This window comes from Homo sapiens, chromosome 13, assembly GCF_000001405.40.
Source record: "Homo sapiens chromosome 13, GRCh38.p14 Primary Assembly".
Taxonomy (NCBI): domain Eukaryota; kingdom Metazoa; phylum Chordata; class Mammalia; order Primates; family Hominidae; genus Homo; species Homo sapiens.
Window position 1 is genome coordinate 39,249,011 of NC_000013.11, and position 20,552 is coordinate 39,269,562.

Below are 20,552 nucleotides of genomic sequence, written 5' to 3' on the forward strand. Positions count from 1 at the left end.
AGGCCAGACGCAGTGGCTCATGCCTTTAATCTCAGCACTTTGGAAGGCCAAGATGGGAGGATCGCTTGTGCCTAGGAGTTCAAGACCTGCGTGGGCAATAAAGTGAGACTCCATCTCTACCAAAAAAAAAAAAAAAAGAAAGAAAAAAAAAAAAAGGAAAGAAAGAAAAGAAAAAAGAAAAATTAGCCTGTGTTGGTGCGTGCCTGTAATCCCAGCTACTCAGGAGGCTGAGGTGGGAGGATCACTTGAGTCCAGGAGATTGAAGCTACAGTGAGCTGTGACTGCACCACTGCACTTCAGCCTGGGCCACGGTGAGATCCCGTCTCAAAAAACAAAAAAAAAAAAAGAGAAACTCCACAAACTCTACCTCAGTCAAGCGATCGAGGTTAACACTATTACATCAGTCACGTTGATGGCACGTACCCTTGATAGGATGTAACGTGGATGGCACTTTTCTTTTGTGGTCTTCTTCCCCAAAATTTACAACCTGTTTAATCAGGAGAAGCACGTTAGGCAAATACCACTTGAGGGGCATTCTACAAAATATATAACTAGCACTCCTCAAAACTTCTAAGGAAATTCTGACAAACTGTCACAGCCAAAAAGAACTTAAGGAGACATGATTACTAACTGTGATGTGGCATCCTAGATGTTTCCTGGAACAGAAAAAGGACATTAGGTAAAAACTAAGGAAATCTGAATAAAGTATGGACCTTAGTTAATAATAATCTATTAATATTGGCTCATTAATTGTGACACATGTACCATATTAATGCAGTATGGATAATAGGGGAAACTGGCATTTACGGGAGCTCTCTGTACTATATCTATAATTTTTCTGTCAATCTAAAACTGTTCTAACACAAAAATTTTATCCAAAAAATATATGTATATTTCTTCTGGTGCCATATTCCGTGTCAGATAAAAATCACCAGTTACTTATATATTTTTTTCAAGTAAGAAAATGAAATGGGGGTCGGGGTGATTGTTTCAGACAAGCAGGAGTAGAAATTATGGAGTCTCATGGCTGGCAAGAGGAAGGATACGCGCTGAATGCAACATGCACACACACGGCCTTGAAAACCAAAATCAAATGTCGTATGACATAAATGCGCATGGCAGAGGAAAAGGAAGCAGATCACCCCCCTGCCGAATGCATGATGTCTGCAGCTTCTCGATGGCTCCAGGACCTTTCCAGACCTCCAGGGCAGCAGATGACAGATCATTTCCATCACCACAGAGCATTTGGCAAAATCCAAAGAGCCCGGATTTGCACTTTTTAAAAGTTGTTTATCCACTCAAATTCTTCCCATTATTCTCAGAGAAAAACTTAGAAAATACTAACATTCTCATAAAATATTTAATTATATAAAATTAGATAAAATATTTCATTCTGATTGGCAGAGATTTGATATATCCCTGCTTTCCCCATTTCTGTAACTTTAAAAGGAAAATTTAAAAAGAAAAACAACAGTGCCTTAGAAATGCTCCAAAAATTATAACTCTGATTAGAGTAGAACCATATGTCCCTGCATGAATGTTGGATCATTAATGGCCACTTCTTTTCAGGGCTATTTTTAAGCCAAGATAGTGAGGGGTTGTCACTGCAAATACATCACAGTGTTGTCCTTTACCCTCTAGCTCGCCCTTAGGCACACTGCTTGTGAAAGCTGGAATCTCAATCAGGGCATTTGTGTTCCATTTGAGTGAGTTTGGCAGAACACTATTTAACCCTACGGGCTAATTACTAAATATCTGTCATGTAATCGGTGGAGACTAATCCATCTATGAATTCAGGTCAACTTGGCAAAAAAAAAAAATGAAGGTCTTTTTCTAAGAGGTATTGGTAAACCACTGAACACAGCTTCAACTTCAGGCATATTGTCAATGGTTCATGCAACATCACCAGTCATATTCTGGAAACAAAACAGAAAACCTTCAAGATGGGGTGGCAGAACTCCTAGGCTGTGGCCCTGGCTCTGCCACTAACTTTGCCTATTTGGACCTCAGAATCTTCAACTGTAAAATAAGAGAGTTAGTTTAGATGGACTATGAGAGCTTCACAAACCTCACTCCCTAAGAGGAACATGAACATTTATTCCCAGGGTCCTAGGACTTTGTTGCCTAAGGGAACCTCAGCAAGTGGATAAAGTCTGGGAATTCTTAGGTTTTATTTGAAAATTTGTGCAGTTTATATACTTTTCATAGTATATATCAATATTTTTAATATAAAAATGTTTCAAATTAGTTACTATTAAACTAGCATCATTAAATTATTTGCCATTTTCCTTCTACATAACAGAGTAAAATTGATATTTATGGGAGATCCATGCCATGCATACTCTACGGCTCCTCCGATGCTTACGGTCTTTCTCTTCCGGTTTGAGTCGGCAGGACCAAGGTTTTCTCTAGCTCATAATTTCCTGACTCAGTAAAAAATTTTAATGATTTATTACATTCTGAAATCATGACATAATCAGACTTGCAAATTACAACTGTACCAAAGAACAGATGAAGATGTGTCGCAATGTCTGTGCCCACCATCAGAGGACATGTGTAGTCTGAGCCTCATAGGTTCTAAGTGCCTCACCATCTTTGAATGCAAATCAATGAGACTTTTCATCACCCGATAACCAGAACATTACCACTTTTACAGTTTAAATGGCGTTGGCCAATGTATTTGAATCAGGTACAAGTTTAAAGAGTTTATGGTTATTGAAGAGTTAAAGAACAAAAGAGCCCAACTTATTCAGTCAAAACATCCCAAGCCATCCTATTAAGCACCGCATTAAATTTCAGAATTTATTATTCCTCTTTTAAAAAACAACAGCAAAAGAGCATCAATAAATAAGTGCTCTGAAGTTGTGCAGAGGGCTTCCCATACAGAGACAACTGTTGGGCCAACAGCTCTTAGTCCTTTGAGTGGCAATAATGATAGTATTAACTATTTGCAAAAATTTTAAAGTACTGTTTATGAGCCTTGTCTCCTCTAAACCTTACAATAGCGATAGGTTGTGCATAGGATGGGTTGTCTTTCTTTCTCTGACTGATTTGTAGGAGTCTATATTTCAGGATAAGAGTCCTTTGAGAGATATATGTGTTCCAAAAACCTCCTCCCAGTTTACAGCTTGTCTGTCCATTGTCTTAGTGGATCCATTCTCTTAATGTTCTTCAACAAACAGAAGTTCTTAATGTGAATAAAATCTAATTTTCCTATATTTTCTTTTATGATTAATGCTTTTTTGTGTTCTATTTAGGAAATGCTTGTGTGCTCCAAATTCATGAGGATGTTCTTCTTTGTTGTCTTCTAGAAGCTTGATTCATTTAACTCTTCTTATGACCCATGTTGAATTAAGTTTTGTGTATGGTGTGAGGTGGTGTCAGTATTTCTTTCTTTCTATATGGACATCCTGTTGATTCAGCACCTTTTATTAAAGATATTGTAATTTTCCCCACTGAATTACAATAAAGCATTAGTAATAAATCAGGCGCTTGTATATACATGTATGGACGCTTCTCTCTGTTACACTAGTCTATTTATTTATCCTTAAGCCAGTTAATTTAGAGTCGATAATAAAGTATATGATTTGTAGCAGGTAGATTTATAATAACTCTTGATTTTGACATTTGTTTTATTTTTTAAAATATTGCATTGGCTATTCTGGATCCCTTGTTAGGCTACAAAAATTTGAGAATGAGCTTGTCAATTTCTACAAAAGAGCCTGTTGGTATTTTCCTTGGCATTGCCTTAAATCTATAAATCAATTTGGGAAGAATAGACACCTAACAATATTGAGACTTTCCATCACTGATTATGGTATATATTCCCTGCATTTGTTACTGTTTTATTGATTTTTTTCTCAGTAATATTTTGTAGCTTTCCATATCTTGCATACCTTCCGCATCTTTAGTTAGATTGAGTCTAGATAGCTGATATTTTCTAACGCCACATGCACAGGATTGTTAGTTTCTCTTTCATTACTTATTTTACCATTTCCATTATTGTAAAACATTCAACTTCCTTCAGAATTTTTATTTTCTGATTAATGTTATGATGAAGATGTTATAGTTGTGGAGCTGCAAAGTTAGAGGTTCCTGGGGAAAATCTTGGGACCTCCACTAAAAGCAAGCAATGGAAGTTATAAATATACATTTCAATGGAGGGTAAGACTCAGGACTATGGAGACATCTGAGCTTATATTTCCCCTGGGGACATTTATTTTCATTCCATAAAATTAGAGTAAGAACCCAGGATCCTTACCAAAGAGACTTTCTGGAGAGGGGAAACAGCTGCCTTTCCTATAATAAAAATTAGGATTATTTTCTTTCAGGGTTCCTCACCTACAATCCCCTTTATGTATAGGATGCATTTGGCTCTCATTTTGTCACACTAGATGTAAGAATTAAGGCACAAGGGAACCCTAAAATTATATGCCATGAGTAAATAATAATAATATTCTTAGCTCCAGAAAACCTTGTTTGTGCATTCAGGTTAATATTAATAAATATGGATATTTAAAACTTAATAATAGTTTTTTTTTCATGAGGATGAAGTATTTGTCTGGTTTTGATCGTCACAGTGTATTCCCTGACATCCCTTAGCACACAGTAGGAACTTGGTAAATATAGGTTACGTGATGTATTAGTTATCTATTTCTGTGAACAAATTACCCCAAAGTTTAGCATATGAAAACACAAACATTTATGATCTCATCATTTCTATGGGTCAAAAATCCAAGGACAGCTTAGCTGGGTTGTTCCATTTCCGGTTGTCTCATGAAGCCCCAGGGTATCTTGGGGCTGCAGTTATCTGAAGATTGACTGGGGCTGGAGGAAGTACTTCCAAATTCACTTATGCAGCTGTTGACCAAGGCTTTGGTTCCTAACCACGTGGGCCTCTCCATAGGGTTATTTGTGATGAGGCAGCTGACTTTGCCAAGAGAAAGTTATGAGAGGAGAAAGAGAGCACGCTGTTTTATGATTTAATCTCTGAGTTATGTGCATACCATCATTTCTGCTTTTTTCTATTTATTAAAAGCATGCCACTAAGTCCAGCCTACATTCAATAGGAGGAGATTACATGATTACACAAAAGCATGAATACTTGGAGGCAGGGATCACTGGGGCTTTCTTAGAGGCTGACTACTACACATCAATAAATGAAGTACAAGATGTGATATTATTTATCTGTTTGACTAATTATGCACCTCCTGCTTCAGCTCTAAACTCTGGATTGAGTAGAATTTACATAGGCATGGAAAAGAACAAAGGGGTTCCCACTGGAAGAAACACTGTACAAAATAACAGAACATAAAAGGGCATGTTCTCTGCAGGGAACTATAAGTAGATCTCCAAGGGAACACAGGATACTGAATAGCACTCCTCCATCAGAGGACGTGTATAGTCTGAGCCTCATAGGTTCTAAGCCACTCACTAACTTTGAATGCAAATCAATGAGACTTTTCATCACCTGGTGGCCAGAACATTATCACTTTGATAGTTTAAATGGCATTGACCAATGTATTTGAATCAGGTACAAGTTTGAAGATTTTCTGGTTATTAAGGAGTTAGAAAACTAAAGAGCCCAATTTACTCAGTCAAAACATCCCATGACATCCTATTAAGCACAGCATTAAATTTCACAATTCATTATTACTATTTTAAAAGACAACAGTAAAGGAGTGTCAATAAATAAGTGTTCAGAAGTTGCGCAGACTGCTTCCCATACAAAGACTAAACTATTGGGCTGACAGCCAAGGTGTTTGCCTGTCTCTGCCCGTGACATCTAACCTCTTTGTAATCTAAGATGGGTTCTGTCCTGGGCAGCACGTACACAAGGAAATGCACCTCAAGGGGCGTTTTCCTCGTGCTGATTCCCTCTTACTGCTGTTTTTTCATCTCTATTACCCTAATGCCTTTGCTTTTGTTCTCAATTTTATATTCTAAACTATTGATTTCTGCTGCTAGGTCTTTTGGATGCTAAAACACATTTAATGAATCTACAGTTCCTGCCTAACATTCCTGGCTTTGCCTGGCTCAAATTCCTTCTAGCCAAAACTGCAGTCTAGATTTAGGCAGCTCTCTCTTTTTAGGTCCCTAGGAGTGGGAGGTGGAACTGATCTTCCTTTCTCCATGGGAATCCAGGAACTCTGCAGAAGATAACAACGGCTTCCATGATAAGTGTAAAGTGTGTGTGTGCACACGCATGTGTGTCCTGCACAAGTATGAAAGTATGACTTTCCACTTTTCTTGGATATCATCTACCCGGTTTATGTCTTTAGTACCTCTTAGGACTCACTCAACAATTTAAGTGTCAAGGCAATGTCACCAAAAACTTTATTTAATGTCACAACTCTGGCAGCTCCATTCTTGAATGATGAATCTTGTAAAGGCACTCCAAGCGTTTTTCAAAGAGAAAAGAGAAATGGAAAAATCTCAACTGTGCCCGCATAGAGGACTCTAAAGTCCAGGGCTAGGCCACAACATTTACTAAAGTCTACTGCGTGCTGGGCATTGTGCTAGGTGCATGGAGAAAGTAATAATGCCTTCGCTCAAAGGAAGTGAAGTCCAGGAGAAGACTAGACATCAGTGAAACAATCACACATATAAACATGTAAAGTCAGACAGCCACAAATTGTACAAAGACAAAATACCCTCATAGGAATGCAGAACTCTGCACATTACTGCAGCCTCTCAGAATACATGAAAACTGTGTGTGTGTGTGCCTGTAGACATGTGTGAGCCTACGTGCCCATTTGAAGTTGTACTGGGCCAGGAATGAGAATAAAAACATCGATAATTCAAAGATTCTCTAAGAGACAAGGAATTGGGGCCTGCTTGGGGCCTTCTTTTTGTCACTTCTTTGACACTCCATGGTATGACTAGAAATGCTGGAACCAGAAGCTAATTCAGAATTTCTTTGCTTGGGCTTGGCATGTGCTTGTAATGAAAGTGAAATTAGGAGTAGAGGACATGCAAATAAGTTTGCTCTCCATCAACCTTGACTTCCCAGTGCATAGGCAATAATAAAGTCACGGTGAAGGAAGTTTATAATAAAATTACTTCTCAAAACAGGTACGTTTGCTAAATAATGTGCCATTGAACCAGTTTTGTTGAATTCAATTATGTGATATTAAGTCGTGTGCTGCATGCAAGGCCCTGTTTTAAACATTCCTGTGAGCAAATGCGGAGGTTTACAATCACTCTCTGCCCTAAAGAAGCAATGATTTGAAACAGAATTGGCATCAGAACAAATTACTGTAAAGAACAATTCAACCCTACCAGTTAGTTTTAATAAATGTGTTTATCAAGTTTTTAATGGGGCCAAGTGGAAAGGCAGTGCCTTATGTGCAGCCTTGTGACATAATGGAAAATATAATTTCATAATGAGTTAATAATAAATGTGTATGGGCTAAGCAAGAGCACAGTTCATTTTAAAGACTCATTAAGTAGAAGATTTGACCGTGTCTCTGAAATGAAAGTGTGCACACACTGTTTCAAAATGAAGTGGAGTTGAAAGCCTGGGATTGCATTGCTTGATCAACTCTTCCTGGAAAAGCAACAGAATTTGTAACACTTGTTTTGTCACTCTTGCTTTACTCTTTAGAGAGTGATAAAATTATTAATGCTCTATTTTTTTTTAACTAAACAGAAACTTCTGTTTAGGACAGACTACATGGAAATGTTCAGGAAACTGATTTCTGCATAAGCATATGTGGCTGCCTCTAGGGCAAGAAGACTGGGGATATCACCATGGGCTCAATGTTCATTGTGAAGAAGCCTCAAGGAAATTGTACCTTATGATTAAAATTTTACAAATGACATATTTCACAAATTATAATGTTGCCAATTAAATGTACACATTTCTATGCAAACATGCATTACTTGAGTTGTTCTAAGCTCACACCTTTACAGCACTGTGCATATGTGTACTTGCAAATTTGAAACTAAGTAGTATTTCAAGGATACAAACTACTCACGAGGTGCAGTTAGAGGGCTTCTGTTGCAGGGAAGGCTTCCTGGGAACTTAGTGAGCATGATGTTTCTTAGGGAGAGCCCTTAGTAGCCACACCTGTGGAAGGGTGGGGACAGAGGCAGGCAGAGGGAGAAGTGAGTTGTAATGCAGGCCAAATGAGCTCCAGATGACCTCACTGGAAGCTATGAAGGTCAAATAACCCATCAGAGTTACTTTTGAGTTGAGTCAAAATAGCCAATGTTTATCCCTCTGCCTTGGTCAGTCATTGGATACAGACCACCTGGAAAAGGGATTTGACCTTGAGTGAGGGAGTTGTCTGCAGCCAACTGAGGCAATCCCAGAAAAGCCTAACAGGGGAAGCCTGTCAGCTGACAGCATGCCCAACAGGTGGGGGAACAAGTCCTTGAAGTGGGATCTAGGCCGTGTATCACGGTGTCCACATAGGCCATGTATCACAGTGTCCACAAAAGACCAGAGGCAGGTCCTGCTAAACAAGTGATCCCATGAATCTTTTCTCATGATTTAGCAGATCAGATCCCAGTACTGCTCACTGGTAATACAATATCCCAAACAGGCGGCTCTCATGCAAGGCCTCTTCTTCTCTGCTACTGAGAAACAACATGCAATCTTGGAAAATTTCAAACACAACACATCCAATTCAGGGGAGCACCAGAAAACCAGCAAACCTGCAGCAAGCGTGATGTAACTACAGTGTTGTACAAGCCACGACTCATGCATTAAGGTCAAAATGTAGATTTATTTTTGTCACTCCCTAACCCTTCCCAAAGTCTCCTCATAGCTCCAGGAACAAGCTCTACATTTATCCCACATTATCTCTTCCCTGCTCCCAAGGGTCTGTCCCTGACCAGGCAGTGCTCTCTCACACTCAAGGGTGCAGTGAATCTCAATCGGTCCACAGTCAGCTTTAGTTTTCTTAGGCAAGAATTGGGCCTCCTGAGGTTGCTACTGAGGAGAACACATTTCAAAGCTCTCCAAGTGGCTTTCCTAAAACTCTCCTCCCTAGGCTTGGAGCTGAACCACAGCACCCATTGCACAGCACAGAAAGGCTTTAGCTTTCTTCAAAGAAGTCTGTCTACGAGTCTCATCTCAAAGTTCTCCCTGGGACTTCTATCTCTGGTCTGGCTGAGGCAGTCAAGGGTTGAGTTGTGGAAAGGGGTCTTAAAACCGTTTGCTTTGGGTATCTGAATATATATGGTGGAGGCCTGTTGTATTCTGACTTTGATATCTTGATATCTATCCTGTGAGGCCTTGGTATCTCCTGAAGCAGGGAGGAGCCCCAGTAACACCTCCTTCTACACTATAATGAGTAAAGTTGCCAGTGGAATCTGGTGGTCAGTGAAGGGCTGTTGGACGGGCTGAGAGCTTGTGTTCAGATCCAGCTACCACATACAGAGTCTCTCCATTGCAATCTCCTTTCCGAGTACATGGAGTTCTTAGCTTCCATGCCAGCCAAATATCTTCTAAAGAATAATTTTCACTAAGTTAACATAAATAATCAGAGAAATTAATTGAATTTTTTCAAAAAAGGAAATTGTGATATTTTAGAAGTTTCTTTGAGCTCAAAAGTACTTTATAGAACATCTAAGTACACATCTTTATTTTATAAATAAGGAAATTGGTCTCCCAAGAGGTTTTTAAATCATCACTCATTTATTCAAAATATTATTTAGTGTGTACTCTTTGTCAAGTATGATACTGTGATATAAGAAATATATTTCACCTATAAGTGAGATCATGCAATGTTTTTCTTTCTCTGTCTGGCTTATTTCTTTTAGCATAATGTCCTCCAGGTCCACCCACATTGTGCAAATGGAAGGCTCTCTTTCTTTTTAAAAGCTGCATAATATTAGGTTGTGTGTAATGTACGTGACATTTTCTTTATTCATTCTTCCATCAATGGACATTTAGGTTATTTCCACATTTTGGCAATTGTGAATAATGCTGCAAGGAGCATAGGAGTGCAGGTGTCTTTACAAGGTGGTGATTTTATCTCCTTTAGGCATATATGCAGAAGAGAGATTGCTGGGACTTTCGTTAAATAAGTAAATTTTAGCTGTTCTTGTCATTTTGTTAAATAAGTAGATTTTAGCTGTTTTGTGTGTTCTTGCCATACACACAAAAGTAACTATAGGAGATAATATGTTAATCTGCTTCACTATAGTAACCACTTTACTATCTATATGTCTCCCATAACATGTAGCCCTCATATATATGAAATAAAATTAATTTTAAAAATAAAATGATACTAAAGAAGAAAAAATAGACATGTTTGTATGTATTTTGGTCTTGGTCCCCAGCTCCTGGCCTGAACTCCTAAAACCCTTGTAACTTCCTAAGTGATAAGAGTGATAGGAATATCTTTTATTATATTATTTGTTTTGTTTTGGGTTTTTTTTGCCTCCAATTTCTGAAACAGCTCTGGGGAGATAAAGGTGAAAGGAACAGCCTCTGTTGTTCTAACAAGCTCCTTTCAACCACATCTGAGGTTCTGTTCATCAGGCAACATCTGGAAAGCCCCTAAGCATGAGGCAGTGAGGAGGGGGTGGTTGCCAGGGGAATCAACCATGATTAAAGGGTTGGAAATTTCAGTGACATCCCCTGAACCCTGGGGGGAGGGAGAGGTGTTGAAGGCTGAGCTGATCACCAATGGCCAATGATTTAATCAATCATGACTATGTGATAGATCCTCCATAAATATGCTAACCAAAGAGGTTCAGAGAGCTTCAAGGTTGATGAACTAGAATGCATCTATTTGTGAAGAGGGTGACACCCCCAAATTCCACAGGGACAGAAGCTCCTGTGCTCAGGACACTTTTGGGCCTCACCCTGTGTATCTCTTCATCTGGCTGTTCATTTGTGTTCTTTAAAATTTCCTGTTTAATAAGTGAGTAATGGTATGTAAACTTTCCTTGGATTCTGTGAACTATTCTGGCAAATTATCAAACATGAGGAGGAGGTTGTGGGAACCTCTGACTTCTAGCCATGTCAGACAGAAGTTTGTGGCAACGTGGGGACTCGCTACTTGCAATTGACATCTGAAGTGGGGGGCAGTCTTGTGGCACTGAGCCCTTAACCTGTGAAGTCTGGGCTAACTCTGGGCAGTTAGAGTTAGAATTGAGTTAAACACTCACATTTGGCTCAGAATAAATCTCTTCAAATATTATCAGAGTTTGACTCTTTTCATCGACAATCCTTAGCTTCAAGATGTCAATTCTTGGTATTTGATTGAAATTCCTAATTAAGGAAAGACACATTCATTTCAGGACTTAATTCTTAGCTGAATGCCACCTTCCAGCAGACATTAAAGAGAAAGCTCTTAAAACTCTATAATACTGAGAAAAGTACTAGCAGAGATGAAGTGGTTACCTCAGATTCTGAAAATATTTTCTATTTAAGATACATTTTAAACTTCTTAGAAAATATGAATCACCAGATTTCTACATATTGCTATTGTTTATCAAGGCATCTGGAGAGGACTTTGTTAAAATCTTCTGCTTCCCTTAGTATTGTTAATATTAATTGAAACTTTTTGCAATAAAGTGCCAGTCATGAATATGTATTAGATGAATGTATACATGTCAATGGAACTCTGTTAGAAATGCACTTTTTTTCATTCATTGCCTGCTTTGGATGTTGTATAAAACAGTTTTCTGGGCTGATTATATGCAACATATACTGAGTTGATGAAATTGATTGGTATTTGCTCTTTTTCACAAGGAACTTATTTCAGCTAGCTAGTGAGGGTAAAACTATATGTATCTTTGCAAAACCATCCACATTTACCCTTTGAAACAGATTGTCTCAAGGATTCTGACTCCATCTAAGAATATATCCATATATTTGGAGCTATGCACCTTGGAATGTGTGACTTTCTGTCCACGCTTTGCTGGGAGAGCCTGATCTGAAGGGAATGTCTTAATGCAAGTGCAGGCTCAGTGATGTGCACTTGGGAGAAGGGAGGGGTCAGTAGAAACTTCTTGACAATGACAAGATGTTGAAATTTAAAAAAAGGATTTAAAACCACCGAAGTGTCTGGCCTCCTCTCTTAGTGAAAGTTGATTACCACAGATGATAATATTTAGTTATATTTTAGTTAAAATACTATTTAATTATTAATAAAATAGTAAGAAATGTGATTAAAATATGCTGGGCTGATAATATATTATTGGTTTCTGTTTCATTAATAATAATTTATAAAAATGGATGAATACATCATCTCAAATGAAGATATCAATTCCTGACACAAGAGGTTTCTTTATTCACCTTTGGCTGCTTCAAGGTTTAATAATAGAAAGCTAAAGAAACCAAGAGGACAGAAGACTTTTATCACCTTCTAAATTTAGGGCTTTGAATGATAAGGACTTTATGTGTCACAACACTAAACAATTTCACCTACAGAGTGCTACAGTGAAATTACCACTTATTTGGGGTCCCCGAGATAGCACATTTCATTTTTACCTTGTTTTATTTTACCTATTTCCTGGGAGCAGGCTTAGTCCTACAAGGGAAATACAAAAGCTCCCTTCACACTATGATATGAGAACTGTAAATAGCCCTGCCTGGGAAAACTGATCTTATCCAGAAAGTTTACTGGGCAGACATCTGTACTGTTACATTAACTATGACTACATAGAAAAGCTCCAGTCTAAAATGTGTAAATACCATCTGACCAAGGCCTTTGGGCCCTCCTCTCTCACTAACACCCTAGGAGACGTTATCCTCCACAGTTAAGATGCTGATTTCCTGATGATGGGATGGGAATGGAAAGAAACATGAAGGCCAATCCGAGGAAGCAGCCCGCAGATGAAGAGAAATCTATTTCCATTAATATTTGCTAGGGCCAGGCTTGCAGGGAAGAAACTGGGTTTTAGTAGTTTCTCTGCTGATCCGTACTCATTATCAGCTGTAACAGACAAAAGATGAAGATGGGAAAAAGAGAAAAAGAAATTTAAAAGATGCAAAGGCAAACCATCAATACTCAACTTTCAAGATACTACAAACCAGAAATTGTGTGAGGAGCTTCTAAGAGCTGCAGTTTCCTCTCTGATTCTGGAGAGAAGAACAGTTCAGGAGAGATCAGAGTATTTTCTCATTTAAAAATGATGTAGCAGTTGCTAACTCTAAAATATTGCTGGGAAGATAATGATGCTCATTTGCCTCAGAACCAGACAAAGTGAGATTGGACTCCAACAGGAGGACCCCACGGATCCTATACTGCTTTAGGTAATATCACAATTCCTATATTCCCTTAAATTTTATTTTATACTTTAAACACAAATGCCATTGAACATCATGTCTATTCAGAGCTCACTATTTTTCTGACTCCTCATCAAGCAGCAGAGTTAATGGATTTTGCAAATCAACTGCATCATATGGCAAAAAGATTCCTGAAGTTAGAACCAGAACTAGGCTTGGTTGATTGGTATTGATTATCTTTGTAACCTTTTGTAATTCATATAAACTCATTGAGTCACACATAATATGGTGAATATCCTTATCCACATTAAGGATTTTTTTTCATGAACATTAAGTTGGACCTGGTATTGAGCAGAATACTTAATAAGTTAAATACATTATGTTATAAAAGTTGGGTCCTCCCTAACTACAATTTAGCCTATAATCAAAGGCGGAACATCAGTCACTGACTCTGTCCTAGAGTGTGGGAAAACACTGGGAACATTATCAATCCATCCAAGTGTCCGAGAATAACAGAAACCCCCGCTTTCAAAAAACTCTTTAGAATGAAAAACGTCACATAGAATCACATCGGCATCTTTGAGGGGAGATTTTTCCTGCATATCCTCTTCTGAACAAATTAAGTAATAAAAAGTAAGGCAGATGGGAAATCAAAACTTCATCTTTATAACTAGAAGTGAAATTGGGAGATCATAGTTTAGTGGGAGAGCCTGGTATAGCTGCTGGCTGAACCCACTAATTAGAAACACTTACCCACCCAATCAAAAGAGCACTGAGGCAGATCTTTTGCCCTTTCACCCTTCATGGGCAGAGCGTGTCCCAGGAGGAGCAGAGCAGAATGCATGTTTCCTGTAAATGGCTTGCTTTCAAGAGAAGGGTAAAACTGGGCTATGTATGCTCAATGTAGTTATCCATAATTAACCAATAGAACAAATCACCACACCACTGCCACCTTGGGGTGAAATGAGTAAATGGCAGACAGAGACCAGGAGTGAGCATATTTTGTCCCACAATCTAGGACAGAGTCAGAGTCATTTAACTGTGTTCCCAGCATAGGAAGGAAACATCAAAAGTAGATTAGGAAACATCCCTCGTAACAATTCTCTTTTTGATCTCTTGACCCCTTGGGCTTAACTCTCAATCCCCCATGGGAAAGGGACCAACAATCCTTCAGGATATTTTTGTTCCCATCTTGAGGCCATTTCCTCAATAAAACCATTGTTCCTTCAACTGACTAGAGTTCATATTTATTTACAGTGTGTTTAGATAAAATTTATATACACTACAAACCACTTTTGTGTTTGTATTCTAAATTTTTTTCTGCAACTAAAACTGTTGCTTTTTAAAGAATATCAACAAATAACATTTCTCTTTTCTGCCCCAATTCTGAGTAAATTGAGAAATAAAACAAATAGTAAGGCAGATGGAAGATCAACACAGAGGTAGCTTAGTGATCGAGTCAAATGGGCTTGCCAGATGAACTCCAGAAGTGGGCACAGTTCCTTGCCCAGCCAGTGCCAATCCTGCAGGGAGAAATCCTGTCCTGGAAGAAATGGAGCAGAATGCCTGCTCCCTGATGGCATTTTATTTCCAAGGGGAAGAGGAGCTGAATTGGGCAATGTCTGCAAAGTCAGTCTCCCCAGGTCGATCAATTAGTACATCTTCTAATCCTACCTTTCATCTTGCCTTGGGGTGAGCAAAGGGGCAGGGATAGTCTAGAAATTATATCAGCTTCCTTCACAGAAAGAAAACAGCAAATACTAGGGAAAAAAGTGCCCCCACCACACTATTTTAATACTGTGTTTATTTAGAAATTTTATATATTTCATTTTTTCTCAAATTCCAGTGGTAATTCATGCTACTTGCAACAAGTAAAACAATATAATACAACACTATATACGGGCAAAGGTCATCACTGCTGTTCCCATGTGCCATTACAGCTCTTCCTAAGATGATCAAACTTGTCAACCTTTCGATGTATGTATCCTTCTAATCATTCTGATTTTTCCTTTTCTAAAATATTTTCTTCATTTTGTTAATAATGCTTCTGCTATCCATGGGTAGCAAACGTATGTTCCTTGATATTCTTGCAAGAAATAACAGTTATTTCCCAGTTTCTGTTGGTCAGAAACTCAGGCACAGTTTAACTGGGTCTCCAACTTCATGAATTGTCACAGGCTACAACCATGCTGTTGGCCTGGGCTACTCCATCTCAAGGCTCAAGTGAGGAAGGACCTACTTTCTTTTTTTTTCTTCTTTTGAGACGGAGTCTCGCTCTGTCACCCAGGCTGGAATGCAGTGGTGCGATCTCGGCTCACTGCAAGCTCCGTCTCCCAGGCTCACGCCATTCTCCTGCCTCAGCCTCCCGAGTAGCTGGGACTACAGGCACCCGCCACCACGCCCGGCTAATTTTTTTGTGTTTTTAGAGACAGGGTTTCACCGTGTTAGCAAGGATGGTCTGGATCTCCTGACCTTGTGATCCGCCGGCCTCGGCCTTCCAAAGTGCTGGGATTACAGGCCTGAGCCACTGCGCCCAGCCAGGAAGGACCTACTTTCAAGCTCACTCAAGTTGTTGCTGGAAAGAAACAGATCTCTGTAGGTTGTTTGTTCCTCCCTGGCTGTTGCCTAGAGCAGCACTCTCTGACCTTTTTAGCACCAGGGACTGGTTTCATGGAAGACGATTTTTCCATGGACCGGGATTGTGGGGCATGGTTTTGGGATGATTTAAGCATGTTACATTAATTGTGCACTTTATTTCTACTATTATTACATTGTAATACATAATGAAATGATTATACAACTCACCATAATGTGGAATCAGTAGGAGCCCTGAGCTTGTTTTCCTGCAATGAGATGGTCCCATCTGGGGGTGATGAGACACAATGACAGATCATCAGGCATTAGATTCTCATAAGGAGCAAACAACCTAGATCTCTCACATGTGCAATTCACAGTAGGGTTCATGCTCCTGTGAGAATCTAATGCCACTGCTGATCTGACAGGAGGCAGAGCTCAGGTGGCAACGCGAGTGATGGGGAGCAGCTGTAAATACAGATGAAGTTTCACTGCCTCCTCCGCTTCTCACCTCCTGCCATGTGGCCTGGTTCCTAGCAGGAAACAAACAACTACTGGTCCATGGCCTGGGAGTTGGGGACTCCTAGTCTAGAGGACTTCAATACAGCAAGCAAGCAAGAAGAGTCAAAGAGAGCAAGAGTGCTAGTAAGACAGAAGTCACTATCTTTTGTAACCCAGTCTTAGAAGTGGTAGCCCATCATTTTTGCCATATATTTAATAAAATTCAAAGCAAATCTCTAGGACCAGCCCAGACTCAAGAGAAGGGAATTGCACAAGGGTGTGAATTCCAGGAGACAGAGATTATTGGAGACGATATTAGAAGTCAGTCTACCACACAGCCCTAAAACATTGTTGCTTCATTGTTTAAAGCAGGCGTCTTTGGCTTCCAATTTTAGTGTCTTACCATTCAGAGTAATACTTGTTTTTCTTTCATAAATAGTGTTTATCTATTCTTATATAACTTAGAATTTTTACATTAAGGATACCTGTTGCAGACCATTAAATACATTTTCAGCATCTATTCGTGTAATCATATACTTTTTCCTTTAATTTAAATGAATTGAGTTAGGTTGACAGATTTCCCAATAATAAAAATAAAATAAGACTTGCATTCTTGGAATATGACTCCACTTAGTCATAGAATATTAATCTTTTGCTATACTGTTGATTTTATTGGTGGCTTTTTATTTATAATTTTTTAATCTACATTTAATACAAATAATTGTTTATAGCTTTCTTTTGTATATTATCTTTATAAAATTTGATATTCAACTTAAGCTGGATTTATGAAAGGAATACTTAGTTTTCCATCTTTTTCTGAAGTTGAAAATGGTTTTAACAAATGATAGAATCATCTGTTATTTTAATGGTTAGATAAAATTCAGCCTTGAGCCCATCTGGTTCTGACATCATTATAATGGAAGTAGTTCTTCAATCATCTTTTCATTCTCTTCTATGGTAATTGATTTAATCATGTTTTTTATGTGTTAATTTAATTTAGGCATTTTATATTTTGTCAAGAAGTTTTCTATTCTATATTTTTCAAATTTGTTACTCTGGAGTTACATATTATTTTCTAATTCTTATCTTTCCAAATTATCACACTTCTACTTGATTTTCTATTCCCCGTTTTATAATCACATTAGATGCCAAAGTTCTTTTGGGAATAAAGTAGTGGATAAGTATACACACACCTACATAGATGCATAAATGCATTAATGAATCAATCACAACACCCTGGTCTATGGGATCCAATATGTAGCATAGTACTTAGCACATGGCAGTTCACTGAGAACTACTGAATACATAAATCACCTCATACCTGCTGTATTAGTCACCTCAGGCTGCCATAGTCAAATACAACCAACCAAGTGTCTTAAACAATAGGAATTTATTTCTCACAGTTCTGGAGGGTGGGAAGTCCAAGATCAAGCTGCTGGCTGATTTGGTTCCCTAGTCAGGGCTCCTTTTTTGCAGCCTTCCTGCTGTGTCCTCACATGGTAGAGACAGAGAGAGAGGAAGTAAGCTCTGTAGCATTTCTTCTCATAAGGGCACTAACCTCATCATGATCAGGCCCCACTCTCCTGACCTTGTCTAAATCTCATCACCTCCCAAAGGCCCCATGTCCAAATATCACCACACTGGGGATTAGGCCTTCAATATATGAATCTGGGGGTGACACAATTCAGTCCATAGCACTTACATTACTACCTAATCTTCATGTTGTGGGTTTGTGTCTTCTAAAAAAGTTTCTTTAAGCCCTAATCTGTGGTACCTGTGAATAGGACCTTATTTGGAAATAGGACCTTTGCACATGTAATCAAGTTACAATGAAGTTATAGCAGATTAGGGTGTGTCCTAATCCAATGAACGATGTCCTTAAAAGAAGAGGGAAATTTAGATGCAAATATAAATAGGGAGAGAGCACAATGTGACCACAAAGGCAGAGACTGGAGTGCTTCATCTACAAGCCAAGGAACACCAAGGAGCGCCAGCAACTGCCAGAGCTTGAAGAGAGGCATGGAACAGACTCTCCCTCAGTGCCTCCAGGAGGAAGCAATCAAGTCGGTATCTTGACTTCAGACCTCTAGCCTCTAGAACTATGAGACAATAAATTTGTGTTGTTTCAAGCCACCTAGTTTGTGGTACTTTGCTATGACACCTCTAGGAAACTAATATACCTCATGTCTATTGTCCTTAATTCTAGCTGTTCTACCTTTGAACTATTCAGCTTAATTCAGACAGAAAAATCTTTCCTAAAAGTTATTCACATGATGTCCCTTCTTTGTTCAAAATGACAAATGATACACCATTTCCTCCAATTATTACTAAATGCTTGTTTGCCTTATTTTCAAGATCTCGAACAGTTATATATTTTTCCATGCTTTCCTCTTTTGAACCAAGCTAACTTTTTACTGTCCCCAAACACTCCACATTCTCTTCTGCTTTCACGGTTTGCTCCCTTCATGCAGTCTCTCTACCATCCTTCTGTTGAAATCACATGCTTTCTTTAAGGTCAACATTAAAATTAAAATCAATCTTTTCATTTATCATGCCAACACTTCTTATCTCTTTGCTTTGAATTCAAAGAAACGCTATCATCTATACCACAAAATTTGGCTTGTTATTAAATATTGTAATTACAAGGGTTTTATCTGTGTTTGTCTTGATGACTACTCTTTAAGGTGAACACCATTTTATACTTCTGAGCATCTTTCATTCCTAGCACAGTAATAAGATATGCAAGAAAGAGTTTCTAATTAATGTGTGCCCACCACATGCATACTAAATATTGTTCCCACCCCCACATACATAATAAATATTGCATTTAATCATACATGCATAAGTCCTGGCTAAAGACAACTCTGTTATGACCTACTTCATTAGTAATGCCTTTGTCCTAAATTTTTTGCTACTTTAGAAAAACTCAGAGGAAAAGAAGCTTCATTTAGTCAAAATTCAAAACAAGATCTCAGGTGTGGGGATGATCCAGCAGGTCATTTTGAAAGTGCTCTGGTTTGAGGTAACATAGTGTTTCTTTCACAAACATAATAATCCATTATAGTCAGAGAGCACGATATGGAAACAGAATTTCTCTTCTGTCATTCATGGGAGTCGAGAGCTACCTTGTAGGAGATGTGAACTATCTGCTCCTATGTCTGTCCCTAGTTTATGCCTTTGACAATAGTTATTCAGTATCTGGAAAAGTGATTATCTAGATTTTGCCTCTCCCCATTGACAGTCTAATCACTGGCAGTTTCAAATGAAACTCAGCACCTGTGCTCACGTTAACCACTACTGCAGCCTCCTTCCTGATGGATCTGTAGTGTTCTCTCCTTTGCTCACTCAGCTCTGACCACAGGGCCAACCTGCTGCTCCTCAAACTTGCCCACGAGCACATGCAGTTCTCTGACTGCAATGTTCGTTCTCCACATATCCTTAGTCTCCTTACTTCATTCAAGTCTCTCCTTCAATGTCACCCCCTCTGTGTTAAAATACAGTGTATTAATAGAAATGTGGAGGTATTGTAAGGGCAATAGACCAGGAGGTAAATTCCACTGAAAGGACAGTTTGTTACTCACAGTTGCCAAGAACAGGGGCATGACCCACCATGGTGGACCCAGCGGGGAAACACTAGGGCCAATCAGGAGGCAGAAGGTTGTGGGGACAGCTGTGGGTAAAAGCTTCTATTACAGTGTCCAGGGGAAGGGAAGCAAGTTTAGGATGGACTAGTTTGAATAATTTCAGTGGGGTTGTCCCTAGTTATCTGGTGTCTGGCCCTGAGGTGATGAGAGCAGATGGATAGTGGACTAGAATATGACAAACGATAAAGGAGGGGGTTAGGGTCTGGGATCTGGATTCCTTGGTTTGGATTTGGAAAGCACATCCATGAGTTGTTTACTATCTCTAAGACTTGGCTATCCCTGAGAGAGGCAGTCCCTCCAGGATCAGCCAGGCCCCAGGGATGAAAGCATCAGAATACAGAAAATAAAGGATGCAGTTAAGGCAACCCTCAAAGAGGCATTCCCTTATACCTTAAGGAAGCATCTCACTCCCCACCACCAGTCTCCATCCTCTGCTCTTTTATTCGACTTTATGGCACTTCATGGAATGTATCTGATAAATATTTTTCACGTCTTTCTTCAGTAGAATAACTTCATCAGAACTTACATTTCAATGCAAGTCAAAACCACACCAGTAAGAATGGCTATTATTAAAAAGTCAAAAAACAACAGATGGTGGTGAGTTTATTGAGAAAAGGGAATGCTTGTACACTGTTGGTGGG

At 38.9% G+C, this 20,552-nt stretch overlaps 1 long non-coding RNA gene across 1 annotated transcript, besides 1 other annotated feature; it reads right to left on the reverse strand.

Moving 5' to 3' along the window:
* Positions 1–324: 324 nt before the first annotated feature.
* On the reverse strand, positions 325–12,153 carry LOC107984579 (uncharacterized). Its single transcript, XR_001749843.1, has 3 exons — positions 11,128–12,153; positions 7,980–8,071; positions 325–487 (listed from the first exon to the last, which is right to left on the reverse strand). It is a non-coding gene; the product is annotated as an uncharacterized LOC107984579 (long non-coding RNA).
* Positions 14,188–14,237: a silencer, noted in NCBI's record as "silent region_5276". NCBI's record gives its function as "represses an Ori minimal core promoter by ATAC-STARR-seq in GM12878 lymphoblastoid cells {active_cell/tissue: GM12878}" and the evidence as "EXISTENCE:reporter gene assay evidence [ECO:0000049][PMID:35858748]".